At 45.9% G+C, this 15,139-nt stretch overlaps 1 protein-coding gene across 3 annotated transcripts in view, besides 4 other annotated features; it reads left to right on the forward strand.

The window, feature by feature from the left end:
- ZNRF1 (zinc and ring finger 1) overlaps window positions 1-15,139 on the forward strand; it is a 111,971-nt gene that overhangs the window by 52,227 nt on the left and 44,605 nt on the right. The gene's annotated exons all lie outside the window — the stretch shown is intronic.
- Window positions 10,712-11,911: an enhancer, noted in NCBI's record as "CDK7 strongly-dependent group 2 enhancer chr16:75095860-75097059 (GRCh37/hg19 assembly coordinates)". NCBI's record gives its function as "activates an origin of replication core promoter dependent on BRD2, BRD4, P300/CBP, MED14 and CDK7 cofactors, with strong dependence on CDK7, by STARR-seq in HCT116 cells {active_cell/tissue: HCT116}" and the evidence as "EXISTENCE:reporter gene assay evidence [ECO:0000049][PMID:35650434]".
- Window positions 10,712-12,483: a biological region, named in NCBI's record as "CDK7 strongly-dependent group 2 enhancer GRCh37_chr16:75095860-75097059".
- Window positions 11,607-12,483: an enhancer, noted in NCBI's record as "H3K4me1 hESC enhancer chr16:75096755-75097631 (GRCh37/hg19 assembly coordinates)". NCBI's record gives its function as "activates a minimal SCP1, AML or CMV promoter by ChIP-STARR-seq in naive H9 embryonic stem cells {active_cell/tissue: H9 hESC(naive)}" and the evidence as "EXISTENCE:reporter gene assay evidence [ECO:0000049][PMID:30033119]".
- Window positions 13,713-13,822: an enhancer, noted in NCBI's record as "active region_11117". NCBI's record gives its function as "activates an Ori minimal core promoter by ATAC-STARR-seq in GM12878 lymphoblastoid cells {active_cell/tissue: GM12878}" and the evidence as "EXISTENCE:reporter gene assay evidence [ECO:0000049][PMID:35858748]".

Consider the following 15,139-nt stretch of genomic DNA (forward strand, 5'->3'; position numbering starts at 1 on the left):
AGTCTGGAGTGCAGTGGCACAATCTCAGCTCACTGCAGCCTCTGCCTCCCGGGTTCAAGCAATTCTCCTGCCTCAGCATCTCGAGTAGCTGGGATTACAGGTGTGTGCCACCACACCCAGCTAATTTTTTACATTTTTGGTAGAGAAAGGGTTTCCTCATGGTGGCCAGGGTGGTCTCAAACTCCTGACCTCAAGTGATCTGCCCGCCTTGGCCTCCCAAAGTGTTGGGATTACAGGCATGAGCCACCGCATCCAGCCTGCATCTTCCCCTTTTTTTTTTTGGGGGGGACGGAGTCTTGCTGTGTCTCCCAGGCTAGAGTGCAGTGGCATGATCTCGGCTCACTGCAATCTCTACCTCCCGGGTTCAAGCGATTCTCCTGCCTCAGCCTTGTGAGTAGCTGGGATTACAGGCATGTGCCACCACGCCCAACTAATTTTTGTATTTTTAGTAGATATGGGGTTTCACCGTGTTGGTCAGGCTGGTCTCGAACTCCTGACCTCATGATCCACCCACCTCAGCTTCCCGAAGTGCTGTGATTACAGGCATGAGCCACAGCACACAGCCCATCTTTTTTTAAACTATGTTTGTTTAATCATCACAAATCTATTCATCTATCCACTCCTTTATTTATCTATCCACCTCTTATTTTGTACACATTTCAAAGTAAACTATAGACATCTGTATACTTATCTTTAAATATTTCAATATGTACATCATTAACTGGTGTTAAGTATTTCTTTATAGCTTTTCCTCTTGGTGGAAAGTTTACATACAAAGAAATGTACACATTTTAAGTACATGTTCACTGGGTTTTGACAAGTACATGCATCAGCAAAACCCAAAACCCTATCAAGATAGAGAATGTGCCCGGGCGTGGTGGCTCACGCCTGTTTTTCCAGCACTTTGGGAGGCCAAGGCTGGAGGATTGCTTGAACCCAGAAGTTCGAGACCAACTTGGGCAACATGGTGAAACCCCATCTCTACCAAAAATACATAAAAATTACCTGGGTGTGGTGGCGTGCACCTGTAGTCTCAGCTGCTTGGGAGGCTGAGGTGGGAAAATTGCTTGAGCCCAGGAGGCAGAGGTTGCAGTGAGCCAGCATGGCACCACTGCATTCCAGCCTGAGTGACAGAGCCAGACCCTGTCTCAAAAAAAAAAAAAAGAAAAGAAAAAGATAATGTTATGTTACCCCACCTGCCTCACATTGTGAGTCAGTAGACTCATAGTTGGGTCCAAACATAAGATGTTTGTAAAAAGGTCCCTGATTTTGACCACTACCCTTTTAAATAAAGAAGCTTGGGGATGTGAAAGTCCTCCTCCAGGTCAGCAGGCTTGTTTAAGGTGAGACCATGTCCTCTGACCTCAGGGCTATGACTGCCATTCTCACTTCTTCAAGGCCACCTCCATTTCCAGCAGGCAGGTGTGTCAGACAGTAAAATTGAGAGAACTGTTCAGTGAACACCCATATAACCACCACCTCAACCGTGCAGCCAACATTGTCTATATTGCTTTATCACAGACTGTCTATACAGCCTTCCCTCCATCGATCTGTCTGTCCGTCCAGCTTACTGTTGTGATGCATTTCACAAAATGCACTCTTAATCATTGCATGATCTCTTTTGTGATTTTGCTCTGTGGAACACAAACTTACAGAGTTAAAGCAAGGCTGGCAACCCATGTGAAAATGAGGAGAATCTGAGCCTTTTCATTTGCTGCCACTGGGGACATGATGTGAATCGGCGCCCTCTGACTTAGCTCCATGGGGCCTCTGGATTGGAAGTGAGGGAGGAGCCTCCTGAGCAAATGGACTGAAATTCCTGCCCTAGGTAGGCTGATTGCCTTCCTGAAGCTCTATTTATAGATCGCAGAGGAAATCTAGGGGGCTTTATCTCACTTCCCACCCCACATAATAAAACTGGTTCAGGTGGGTGGCTAGAACCTTAAAGTTAAACATCAATTATCTAAATATACATATAAGGTGGGAATAGAGGGTCAGAAAAGCATTTTTGTTCTCTAACTTGAGGACTCCAGCTAAAAACATAAAAATCGCCAATGGCTGGGTGCAGTGGCTCATGCCTGTAATCCCAGCACTTTGGGAGGCCAAGGCAGGTGGATCACCTGAGGTCAGGAGTTCAAGACTAGCCTGGCCAACATGGTGAAACCCTGTCTCTACTAAAAATACAAAAATTAGCCAGGCCTGGTGGCACACGCCTATAGTCCCAGCTACTCAAGAGACTGAGGCAGGAGAATCGCTTGAACCTGGGAGGCGGAGGTTGCGGTGAGCCGAGATCACACCATTGCACTCCAGCCTTCTGTGACAGAGCGAGACTCCATCTCAAAAAAAAAAAAAAAAAAAAAAATCACCAATGTCCAGTGGCTGTCACTATCAGGGGCTATTTGTGAGCTTCCCTAATGCCCATGATAGATGTGCCCCATGCTGTAAAACACATCCACCTATTAAATAAGCAGAGTGGACTCACATAAGTAGTAATTTCCTCACAAGCTCAGAAAATGTCTTTTCAGTTTGTACTTTGGTGTGTACACATCACATTTTGGAGAAAGTCTAGACTTTAGAAAAGAGCCTTTAGGGTATTCCCAGGTTGTTCCTGGGCTCCTGTACTCCCTGTTCAGGTCACCTCTGCTGGCTTTGGCTCATTGTGGCCACGCAAGTTCTTTGTTACATATTCCCTTTGGTGATCAGAGTCTTCCCAAGCCATGGTCAAAACTTTACTTTTCGTATGAACTATGTGTCTTCCCCTTCAGGGAATAGGACTGATGCCATTTGAGATTATTTCTTCCTTCCTTGTTGACAATTCCCTTTGTACTCCCCCAAGGCCCTAAGCAAGGACCCTTAGTTTCCTCTGGTTTCGTGGTTCCTGTGAAAAAGGCAGAAGCCCATGTGGAAAATCCTCATCCTGCTGTGTTTCAACAAGCAAAGTGCATTTTGTCTTTCAGAGTGGGAAGGACCTTAACTGTGTTGACCAGAAGTGCAGTTCCTGGCTTCAGCCATTTTGCTTTGGAGAAGGAAAATAAATGCAGTGACCTTTGTTGTGAGGGTAGGGTACTCTTGTTCTAAAAGTCCATTTGTGGTGAGGCGTGGCCCTGCTGGGAGAAGCTGATGCCACTTTGCCTCCCTGGCACCCTGCCAGTTCTGTCTGCTTTGTTGACTTTGGTGGCTCAAGGGACAAGCCAGGCACTGGCTCATCTTTTCCTGCCTGATTCTCTGGGCAGATTTCTCCATAGGGTCTGCAGGGAAGTGGGGGAAAGCTGGGTATGGTCAGAGTGGAGGTCACTATGTGGGCTTCTCAGTCCTCATGCTGGTCTGTGTCAGGTGCCTTTAATTCAGGGCCTAAGGAACCATTGCTTTTTAGCCTAAGCAGCAATTTAATAATTTAGCAATCAGGTAATACTGGCACTTTGTTCTCCCCTGGCTGTTTTCTCAAGCTAAGTTCTGTGTTAGCATTTCTTGATTTCTCCCCTGATACTAATCCTCCTGGGAGATTGGCCTTACCTATTCACGTGGAGCGTGGCTTCTCTAGGAATGTGGGAATTGCTCCATGGCAATGGTGCTTTGGCCTTCACTGCCCACATCACTGGGACCATCCCAGCCCTTCTTGTCTCTAGCCTTTCTTACAGGTCAAGTCCAAACAGGAGGATCTGACTCTCTTCTTGGTCTTTTCTCCTGTCTAGCTGTCTTGTTTTAGAGCAGAAATTAAAGGAGCAGGGTGTCCTAATGAAACTGTTACTGTGATCATATCAGCTCTCTAGAACAAATTCAGAAAGACGGCCCTTTGTAACAGGCAGACTGGGTGGGCAGGCGTTCGTTTGTAAAGAGATGGCTTTCCTCTCCCAACAAGCAGGGCCAGGCATCACCCCATGCTGCATTGATGCAGGGAGTGAATTGAGAAGTGTGGGAACGTCATTTGGACTCTTTCCATTGCTCCCATTTTAATGCTTTCTAAAGGAACTGTTTCTCAGGTTTAAATAAAGTGGCAACACTGGCTTACTAGAACTTATTTATTTTTATTTATTTATTTTTGAGGCGGAGTCTCGCTGTATCACCCAGGCTTACTAGAATTTAGAACCACTCCTTCATTTGTGTGTATCCATTCTGTCTTTCCAGTCCCCAATGTATGATGTAGAATCTCACCTTCTTGCAGCAGAACCAGTGCCCTAAGTTATTGGATGTCTTTGTTGTGAAGAACTTGGTTCCAGCACTTTCCATGCTACCAGCCCAGGAGTAGGTCGTGTTCTGTCCTCAAACATTGGAGTCTTGGGTAGACTGCAGGCCTGATGACAGGCATTGCTCGTCTCCCTATGAGAGGCCTTTTCCTTCCTTTGCCCACAGAGCATTGTGGACACACCAGCTGCCTGCCTGGAAGAAGGAGCTCCTTCCTACCAGCCTGTGGAGTCTCATTTCTGCTGGAAAGGCATAAGAATGCTGCAGACTTGACCTCGGGACCCTACCACGCTTTCCAAGTGACCTTAGAGATTAAAGATCTTTGATTTTACAGAAGAAAAACAGCATAAACACTCAGTCTTGTGGGGGTAGTTATTGCCTTTCCTACTAAAAGTAGCATTACCTGGGAAAGCTGGCCTTGTCTCCAACTGGGCACATCCTTGAAGGACCAAGAGGGTCTTCTAAGAAAACCATCAATGTTTCTGTTCCAGTATTTCCTCGATAAAGACATTTGCCAACCAGTGATCCAAGCTATCCCTCAGCTGCTCAGAATTTACCTCAATTCCTTTGCTGAGCAGGCATGTTGTATTTCTATGTAATGGGGCATATTTGCCTTTGGAGAAAATTCTGAGGACTGTAATCATTTTAGCCATTGATAGCTGATGGTCAGTTCTGCAGGTGCCTCTCCCCATATCACATTAAGACTCCTTTTTATATATAGTTTGAAGTTTAAGGATCCATAAGGATGAATTGGAATCTTCTTCTTAAGAGGTATGGGCTTAAGAAAGTTGAACTGTAAAAGGATCAGTTTCATTCTATTCAGCCCAGCGTGTAAGCCTAGTGACTGTGTGTTCATTCACATTTTCATCAGGCAGCTCTGGCCAGAGGCCCTGAAAGGGTTGAGTATGGTGGAAGATTCCATCGTTTTCAATGACAGTACTGCTCATAAGTTCTAGTGGTTCTGAAAAGAATAGGTTTAAAAGTGAGGTATAAGATTATGTATGATGTTGATGTTATGTGTGAGGTTGATGTTTACCTTTCTTGGTTGACAAATCTGGTATTGGTCCTCTGACAAGAATGGAAACTGTATGTTTGGACAAAAATACTGAAGATACAGATACTGAAGTTCACAAGTATCATGATGTGAGAGGATAGATCATTTTCATTTCAAGGACTTGGTTCATGGAAAAACCTTTTTTTTTTTTATTCCTTTGAGACAGTTTTCCTCTTGTCACCCAGGCTGGAGTGCAATGTCATGATCTCAGCTCACTGCAACCTCTACCTTCTGGGTTCAAGTGATTCTCTTGCCTCAGCCTCCCTAGTAGCTGGGATTACAGGTGTGTGCCACCATGCTTGGCTAATTTTTGTATTTTTAGTAGAGATGGGGTAACTTAAGAAGTTACCATGTTGGCCAGGCTGGTTTTGAACTCCTGACCTCATGTGATCCACCCGCCTTGGCCTCCCAAAGTGCTGGGATTACAGGCCTGAGCCACTGCGCCTGGTCAGGAAAAGACTTTTTAATGCCACTAGATTCCTCTCCTGATGCATTCAGGCCTGTGGCATCCTCTAGTTCAGTTTCTTGGGTAGTTGGTATTACAGATTTAGAGTCTTGTTTTGATGGACATTTCTCCATACAGAGTACCGTAATGCTGTTGCATTTTCTTTCAGATTTGTTCAGAATCTCCTGGGGGTTTCTCTCATTCAGAATCAGGTACTACCGGGGCATCTTGGAATACCCCCACCCTGCCGTCCTGCTGCATGTCCCTGCTCCTTTGACTCCATTGTAGTTCACGTGCTTGTTTGTTGCTTATTCATGCCAGATTTCTAATATAAATGGAATTTAGTAAGGTTATTCTAATACAAATACAGATGGTGACAGTTTTGTTTTCTTCTTTGCTCTGCTAGAGTCACCAGGTTTGATCAACACTTGGAGTTTTTTTTAATATATTGATTTGGTCCTGGATAAAGAGGTGCCAGATTAAGAAAAGCTCCTTAAGAAGCAATTTATTCCTTAGCCAGGGGCTTGGCCTGTTTGGTGTAGCAGAGTGACCAGATTCATTCTGGTCTTACAGGTGCTATCTTGACCGCTTTCATTTTTATAAATAAGGGATTCATCTTCCCTGGCCTCAGGATCGTCATAACAGCTGCTTTGCAAGAAATTCGATGGAATTGGTTCTTTCCTTCTGCCTTGGAAACTGCTATGTATTTTTCATTTTTATTTTTTTGAGAGTCTCACTCTGTCACCCCAGCTGGAGCGCAGTGGCACAACCTCAGCTTACTGCAACTTCCGTCTCCCGGGTTCAAGTGATTCTCTTGCCTCAGCCTCCTGAGTAGAGTAGCTGGGATTACAGGTGTGCACTACCACACCCAGCTAATTATTGTATTTTTAGTAGAGATGGGATTTTACCATGTTGGCCAGGTTGGTCGTGAACTCTTGACCTTAGGTGATCCACCTGCCTCAGCCTCCCAAAGTGCTGGGGTTTACAGGCGTGAGCCACCACGCCCACCCAGAAATTGCTGTTTATACATGGTGGGCTGTGTGTGGAGAAAAGTAGGGACCACTGCTGTTGTAAACCTTCTCAACAAATATGAGGCCTGAGAGAGAACCGCATTCCATCCTTTCTGGTCCTCTAAATACACTGATACTTGACCTGCCCTTTTTCCTTTCCTTTTCTTTTTTTTTTTTTTTTAAATATTTTATGTTATTTTATTATTTTAGAGACGGGGGGGTGGTCTCACTATGTTGTCCAGGCTGATCTCGAACTCCTGGTCCCATGCAGTCCTCCCACCTCAGCCTGCCTGGGACTACAAGCATGTGCCACAATGGACGCTCCTTTGCTTTCTGTGCGGGAGCGTTTAGATCTGAGGAGCGCTGTGGCTGGTCCCTTGAGGTGAGCTGTTCTCATCCATTATATGCAGCTTTTTCTACTTTGGCTTTCAGTAGCTTTGCTTGCAAGGAGCACTCTAAGAATAACACAATAAATGTTAGACCCAAGGATTATTTCCCCAAACCTGCTGGCCCAACACTGTTGCAGTCAGCAGGAACTAAGGAGAATAACAGAGTAGCCAAGGCCTCTCAAAAGAATGAGATAAATTGTTAAAGATGGGACAACTACTCTAGACCAGAAATGACTGCCATAGTGGGGATCAGTTAAAGAGGAATCATAGCCCTACTGGACAACAGGGCTCCCAGGACTTGGGCAGAAAGTAAGTAGCAAACCTCATCACGCTGCTTTGGAAAAGGGATTTGGGTTGAGTTTGGTAACCTGATGACAGACTAGGTGGAGGGTAGATGGCAGTGGGTGTTGGTACTCATCTTGCTCTGCTGGTTGGACTCAGGAGAGTTGTTCCACATCCTCGTGGTTCCTTTCCGTTTGTCCTTTAAATAAATCGGTCTCATCCCCCAGGAGATGCGCTGGGCTTTCTGTGTGCCTTAGTTGAGAGTGTTTGACCACCTTGTGTTTTCCTTGGACTGTTGATGAGCTGCTGCCAAATGTTACCCTTCCAAGGGGCTGCTACCCGCCAGGCTTTTCATACTTGAATATAAACAACTAGATACTGGCCTTGATCCCCAGCTGTGTGAGCATCTGGGAGCAGTGAAGGAAGCCTCAGAATGTGTCAGGCCTGCCTGCTCTAGGAAGAGCCAGAGGAACTGCCAACCATCCGGACTGTTTTGAGAGTAGGTGTCAGGACTTTGCAGCTACCCTTTGCCCTTGTAGGCTTGGCCCCAGATATCTTGGATTTTCTTTTTTCTTTTCTTTTCTTTTCCTTTCCTTCCTTCTTTCCTTCTTTCTTTCTTTTTTTTTTTTTTTCTTTTTTTTTTTTTTTTTGTGGAGAAAGAGTCTCACTCTGTCCCCCAGGCTGGAGTGCAATGGCGCAATTTTGGCTCACTGCAACCTCCACCTCCTCCGTTCAAGCGATTCTCCTGCCTCAGCCTCCCAAGTAGCTGGGACTACAGGCATGCACCACCACGCCTGGCTAAGTTTTGTATTTTTTGTAGAGACAGGGTTTCACCATGTTAGCCAGGCTGGATATCTTGGATTTTCAAAAAGAACAGCATAATGAATTCAGATAAAGCATGAGAAATCTCAGATGCAGTGGGGGTATCAGAGAAAACTACCCATCTTCTTACTTTTGTTTGTGACGAAATGGCTCAGATCTCGTAGGAACCGGTTTTTCAGCCATCAAAAAGACTCCCATCTATCTCTTGAAGTTTGTTCTCAGGTCTTATCTGATCCTTCCATTTCTGAATGTGAGCAGAGAAGTGTTTGGAGCCAAAAGTTCGAAGTTTTTACTCTACCTGTAATGTTTGGAAATTGTATAAATCAATTTAAACATGGACTAAAGGTCTTAGGCTGATGGATTTGACCGCTCCTTTCTCTCCTTCAGGCCGGCTTTGTTTCATTTGACCCTTGAAGTTACATTCTTTATGTTCCTTCATCTCATTTCTCTCTTCACTCCTTTACAAAGTCTAGGGGATCAGACAGACAATTTGACTAGGATTTTATGACTAGACCTCGTTTGATTATTTGGTACAGCCCAGGATATTAGGAGCTTCTCTCAGTTGTAGAAACCCAGGAGCACTTGGACTTGCCGTTACAAACCAAGGTGAAGTGACAGTTTTCTTTTCTTTTTTTTTTGAGGCGAGTCTCACTCTCTTGCCCAGGCTGGAGTGCAGTGACACGATCTCGGCTCACTGCAACCTCCGCCTCACAGGTTCAAGTGATTCTCCTGCCTCAGCCTCCCGAGTAGCTGGAACTACAGGCGCGCATCACCACACCTGGCTAATTTTTGTATTTTTAGTAGAGACAGGGTTTCACCATATTGACCAAGCTGGTCTCAAACTCCTGACGTTGTGATCCGCCCATCTTGCCTCCCAAAGTGCTGGGATTACAGGCATGAGCCATTGCACCCGGCCGACAGTTTTCTAAGTTAGGGTAGTCCCACCTTGCCTGTGGCAGGAGCAGGGAAATATATCCTATCTCTACATTTGAGCACAATGACCATGAAATCCACCCTAGCATACCAGACTCAGAAAATCTTTTTTTTTTTTTTTTTTTTTTTTGAGACAGTTTCATTCTGTCGCCCAGGCTTGGAGTGCAGTGGTGTGATCTCGGCTCACTGCAACCTCCGCCTCCCAGGTTCAAGCGATTCTCCTGCCTCCCTCCCAAGTAGCTGGTATTACAGGCACACACCACCCTGCCTTGCTAATTTTTGTATTTTTAGTAGAGATGGGGTTTTGCCATGTTGGCCAGGCTGGTCTTGAGCTCCTTGACCTCAAGTGATCCACTTGCCTCGGCCTCCCAAAGTGCTGAGATTACAGGCGTGAGCCACCGCGCCCGGCCAGAAACTTGGATTTTAATCTTGGCCGCAGCTTTGATTTTGATGGTAGAATTCCAAGGTCATCTCTATTTCTCCCCTGTACTATGAGGGTACTGGAGTTTTGTAACTTCGTGAGGAGGAGGAGGCTAAGAAAATAGGGAAGGAAGTTCTCAAGAAGGCTGTGCAGTGGTGACTCCCCTTCAGGGGACACTAACGAATTCAGATCCTAATATGAAGCTCTGATTAAAAAAAATAGTAATACATTTTTTGTGGGTACATAGTAGGTATGCATTTTTATGGGGTACATGAGATGTTTTGATACAGGCATTCAGTGTGAAATAATAAGCAGGTCATGAAGAATGGGGTATCCATCCCCTCAAGCATTTATCCTTTGAGTTACACACGAAACAATTACACTCTTTATTTTAAAATATGCAATTAAGTTATTAACTGGCTATAGTCACCCTATTGTGCTATCAAATAGTAGGTCTTATTCATTTTTTCTATTATTTTGCACCCATTAACCATCCCCACCTCCCCCCACACCCCCAGTACCCTTCCCAACCTCTGGTAACCATCCTTCTACCCTCTGTGTCCATGAATTCAATTGTTTTGGTTTTTAGATCCCACCAATAAGTGAGAACATATGATGTTTATCTTTCTTTTCCTGGCTTATTTCACTTAACATAATGATCTCCGGTTCCACTCATGTTGTTGCAGATTACTGGATCTCACTCTTTTTTATGGGTGAATCGTACTTCATAGTGTATATGTACCTTCCATTCATGTTGTTGCAGATTACTGGATCTCACTCGTTTTTATGGGTGAATCGTACTTCATAGTGTATATGTACCACGTTTTCTTTAAACATTCATCTGTTGATGGACAGCTCTGATATTTTTGCCAGCAGTTTTGTGATTTGATTTTGCATGTGTGTGTGATGGCAAAGTTACCTAGGGAAGAAGACATAAAAAGTATGGGACTTCTCAATTGATCCCTACACCACAGTATGACTTTCACTCCTTTAGGTTTCTTAACACAATGAGTCGTCTTGTCAGCAGCTTGGTTTAAAGTGCTAATTTGAGGAACCAGGTGCTTTGCGTCAGCTTCTGACCTGGCTGAGACCTTTTACTGACAATTGGCCCAAGTGTAGTAGAACTGGGAGAGGTTCCCTTTCCCAAGAGCCTGCTGCCGAGACAGTAGAAGATGGTGGTTTATATTGTATTTCCCTTAAGGTAATCTGTGAGAGAAGCTTAAAATTAGGTTACACTTTTGACTTGACACAAGTGTCAATGAAAAAATATTCATGTTCTCGTTGTTATGCTACGAGATCTAAGCCAAGTGAGAAATCTAAGCAAATGGTTGTTCAGTCACTTCAGAAGAATCGAGACAACTTACAGAACTTGCTTTGACAGAGCTGTTCCAGCTCATTTGTAATAACATGCTTAGAACCTTCTGCGTTCAAGAGCATGTCAGAAGGGAATGCCTGGTCGTTGTCTCCCTGGGAAGCAGCGTGGAGCACAGCCCCGGGAGACGAAGGCAGCAGAGGCCCGTGACCATCAAGCACCAGCCTCTCAAGGCATCTCTGAAGGCAGCTGAGAAGTTTCCATCGACAGTGGCTCATGGCCAGTGCACTGACCTTTTGCTAAAGTTGGCAGTTGCTGAAGTGAAATGAATTCTTTATCGGAAAGAGTCAATTAAAAGAGCTAAGTCAAAGAGAGTGCAAATATGGACTGTGTCTTTACCTTTCCACAGCAGCTTTGGCCGCATGCCCCCGAGCTCCCTTTGTCATCTATGTGTGTAGCAGGATCACCCGGGAGGAGCAGGGACGCCCCCTTATCAGGCTTCTCTTGGCCGCCTGCGGCAAGATGACTGTTCCTGCGGTCCTCAGTCTTTCATGACTTTGTGAGAGCCTCTGTACGTCAAGCCACTGTGGGTAATGGAGGCTCATATGGGGTGGGGCTGGTGCTTGCTAGGAGAGGCGTCCGGAGGGCCTGGCCGTATGACACACACAGGAGGAACGAGGAGGAATCTTCTAAGTTACAGGCTGTGTGTGAATAGCAAGTACCCCCTTGCCTTTTCTAATGCAGACTTTTTTAAACTGAGGTGTCAGTTCTGACAATATTATAGAACATTTACCACGTGGGAGGCCTGGGGCTTCCCAGCTCCTTTTGCTCACCTGGAGATAGTGCCCCCTTTCTTCAGGGTGGAAGAACACAGGGTTCTTCCAGAACTTCCCCTTGAGGGGACCTGTGGTAGGAAAGAAACATGACAATAATCTCTAACTTTTCAGAGGCTTTATAATGGGAGGGAAACTTAGAGGCATAAGCCTCACTTTACGAGTGAAAAACAGGAGACAAAGCTAAAATTTTTGCAGAGTCATGCGAGTGGTTAGGGACAGGCCTGGATGAGAACGTACCTGTTGTCAGCTCCCCACATAGCCCCGCTTCCCCAGCGCCACGCCAGCAGCAAGCTGGGCGCTCACAGCCGGACTCTGGAAAGCCCCAGGTCATTCCTCCTACCCTGATCTGCAGGGAGTGCCTTCAGGGAGGCCCGAGCAGACCCTCTAGCCTCCCTGTGGGGTGTGCACATTCCTGGAGGTGAGGGTTTAATTCCAGCCTAGATTTGGGGTGGGCATCACCAGCCAGGCCCCACCTGCTTTACTTTATCTCCCTTCATCTCTGATGTCTCCCACCTCCATCCTGCTTGGCATCCAGGGTGCTGCATTCAGTGTTTGCCGTGGATAGGTGTGCATGGCATTTAGCTTTGGAAAAATATATGGTGGTATTTCGTTGGCATGTTTTTAATTTTAGCCTAAAGACCTTGATCTACTCTTAAAAGTATTTGAATTAATAAATCAAGGAAGACACTGCGGGTAGTTTCTAGAGTGAATGATGAATTTGTGAAGTTACTGTGTGAACTCTGAAATTCAGTGGCTGTCAAAAGAGGTGAATGCTTGCGAGCACCTTGCAGACCTGCCCCCGCCACCAAGCTCTGTGAGTGGAAGACTCAATCAGAGAAGGAGTGAGAGGAGGGAAAACTCCAGGCACAGTGCAGTCGCTGCCTTTGTTCAGCAATGAGGAGGGGAAAAGTGGCCTTTTGGGTTGGCTGTGACCTCCCTGTGTGTATCTGCCCCCCTCATGCTAGGTGGCACTAGAGAAGTGTTGGAGAATATGGAGCCAGTCTCCTGGCTTAGGATTTTTGTTAAAATACGGGGCTCCATTCTTGATATTTCTTTTCTTTTTAAAGAGACAGGGTTTTGGCCGGGTGCAGTGGCTCACGCCTGTAAATCCCAGCACTTTGGGAGGCTGAGGCAGGCGGATCACTTGAGCTCAGGAGTTTGAGACCAGCCTGGGGAACATGGTGAAACCCCATCTCTACCAAAAATACAAAAAAAACAGCCAGGGGTGGTGGTGTGCACCTGTAGTCCCAGCTACTTGAGAGGCTGAGTTGGGAGGATCAGTTGAGCCCGGGAGGTGGAGGTTGCGGTGAGCCAAGATTTGTGCCACTGCATTCCAACCTGGGTGACAGAGTGAGACCCCATCTCAAAATAATAATAATAATTAAATAAACAAGAAAACTCCTGAGGTCAAGCATTCAAGACCAGCCTGGCCAACATGGTGAAACACTATCTCTACTAAAAATACAAAAATTAGCCAGGCGTGGTAGCAGATGCCTGTAATCCCAGCTACTCAGGAGGCTGAGGCAGGAGAATTGTTTGAGCCCGGGGTGCAGAGGTTGCAGTGAGCCAAGATCGTGCCATTGCACTCCAGCCTGGGTGACAGAGTGAGACTCAGTCTCCGAGGGAAAAAAAAAAAAAAAGCGTGCTTAGAGCAGAGGTTCATGGGATTAAATGCAACAATGTAAATAAATCTCCCAGAACCTGCCTGGCACGTAGGAGTGGCTCTAGAAATGTGGGCTGCCGCTGTGGTTTTTTCTTCCTCCTACTCACTTGCCCCACTCCATGAAAGAGCTAAATGAGCAACGGACTCAGAGCTGCTTTGGAGAATGGAGACCTTTTCAGGCTGTTCCTGGCCCTTCTTCTAATACTTGGCACCCTGTGTGTCTTGTATCAAGGAAAGCCAGAGAGAGCTTTTCGGAAGAACCGACTGCTGGGCCCTGCCACAGCTCACCCTCCTGCTCCCTCAGCAGTGCATGTGCCGTCCTTTGCCCCTCACAGGGCCCAGCAAACTGGCAGGTGCATGGGGTTGCAAACCTGGTCCTGCAGGAATGTAGAATGGGTGTATCTCACCCCACTTCACGTGAGAGATAGGCCGTGTTCCTGTGACCCTTGCTCAGCAACTCGTGTGCTTTCAAATAAGGAAAAAAGGGAATGTGTTTTCATGCAACGAGAAATTATACCAATCCCATTGCCTTGGCAATTATAGTATTACAAGTGATAGCAGGCAGCCAGAGCTGAAGACGAGGAAAAGCAAAAATGATAAGAAAGCCTGGGGGAGGCTGTTCACTTCTTACTCTAGTACAATCACCCAACCCCGAGGTGCCTGCGGCTGAGGCTCCTGCACTGGGGTTTGCAGGGCTGGATGTGTTAGCACCTCCCTGAGACGGGGGTGCCTTAGACTACTGCCGCACGGCAACTCCTCAACTCCTCCAGGGTTTTGTTGTTTTGTTCTGGCCAGAGCCACGCTCTGGCCGTTTGTTACTTACACCTTTGTAGTAGCAGTGCCAACTATTGTGACGTTTAGCTGAGATCCAGGGATAATTAGGGTAGGGATTAAGGTGTGGGGCGACTTGTTTTTAATTAATTATAAAAGTAATTTGAGTTCGTCATCACAAAATGAAACAATATAGAAAGCTTAAAGTTAAAGGTCTTATCCCTTCTTCTGCCCTGGTCTCCCTGCTCTTGGGTGACCAGGCAGCCCTTGTAAAGCATGGGTGTGTACACTCAGAAATGTATCCTTCCTTATGCTTATGCAAGCATGAATGGGTTTTGTTTGCTAAGGGTGTCACATTCTTCGTGTCTATAACTTGCTTTTTTTTCCCCTTCAATTTGTGGACAAGTCAGTATATCGAAGTTTTACCCTTTTCAGGGCTAGTGGTAGCCCCTCCTGTGGACACTCCACCAATTATTAGCCAGATCACGATTAACCTTAGAGACAAGAGGACTGTTAGAAAGTCCTGTATGTGGAAGCCGCTGCTGCTCCTCTCTCAGGTGACTTTTTCCAAGTCCTGCACCTGTTGGGAGGGCTCCTCTGGAGAGCAGGAGTGTATGGACTTGGCCAAGCACCTAGGAAGGGAAGGTAGGAGTGAGATGCCAAACCACAGGGTCAGAAGGCATCTTTGCAGCTAGGCTCCAAACTCGTTTCCCATTCAATTCCAGAAGTTCAAGGGTAGAGACAAGAGTTTGGAGGCTCGCTCTTTGAAGAAACTGAATACTACATAAAAAAGACTAAACAGATACTAATGTTTAATCACAAATGAAAAAGCCCCCTGGTACCTCTGTTACAAAAACTCCAAATAAAGTATCAGATAACTGGCCTAATAGTGTATTGAGGACATATATCACAAATACTGTTTTCCCCCAAAATACAAGACTGGTTCAACATCAGAGACCCTGTTACATCAGTAGACCAAAGGAGGGGAAGACATGATTATCTCATTTGATACGGAAAAC

This window comes from Homo sapiens, chromosome 16 (assembly GCF_000001405.40).
Source record: "Homo sapiens chromosome 16, GRCh38.p14 Primary Assembly".
NCBI lineage: Eukaryota > Metazoa > Chordata > Mammalia > Primates > Hominidae > Homo > Homo sapiens.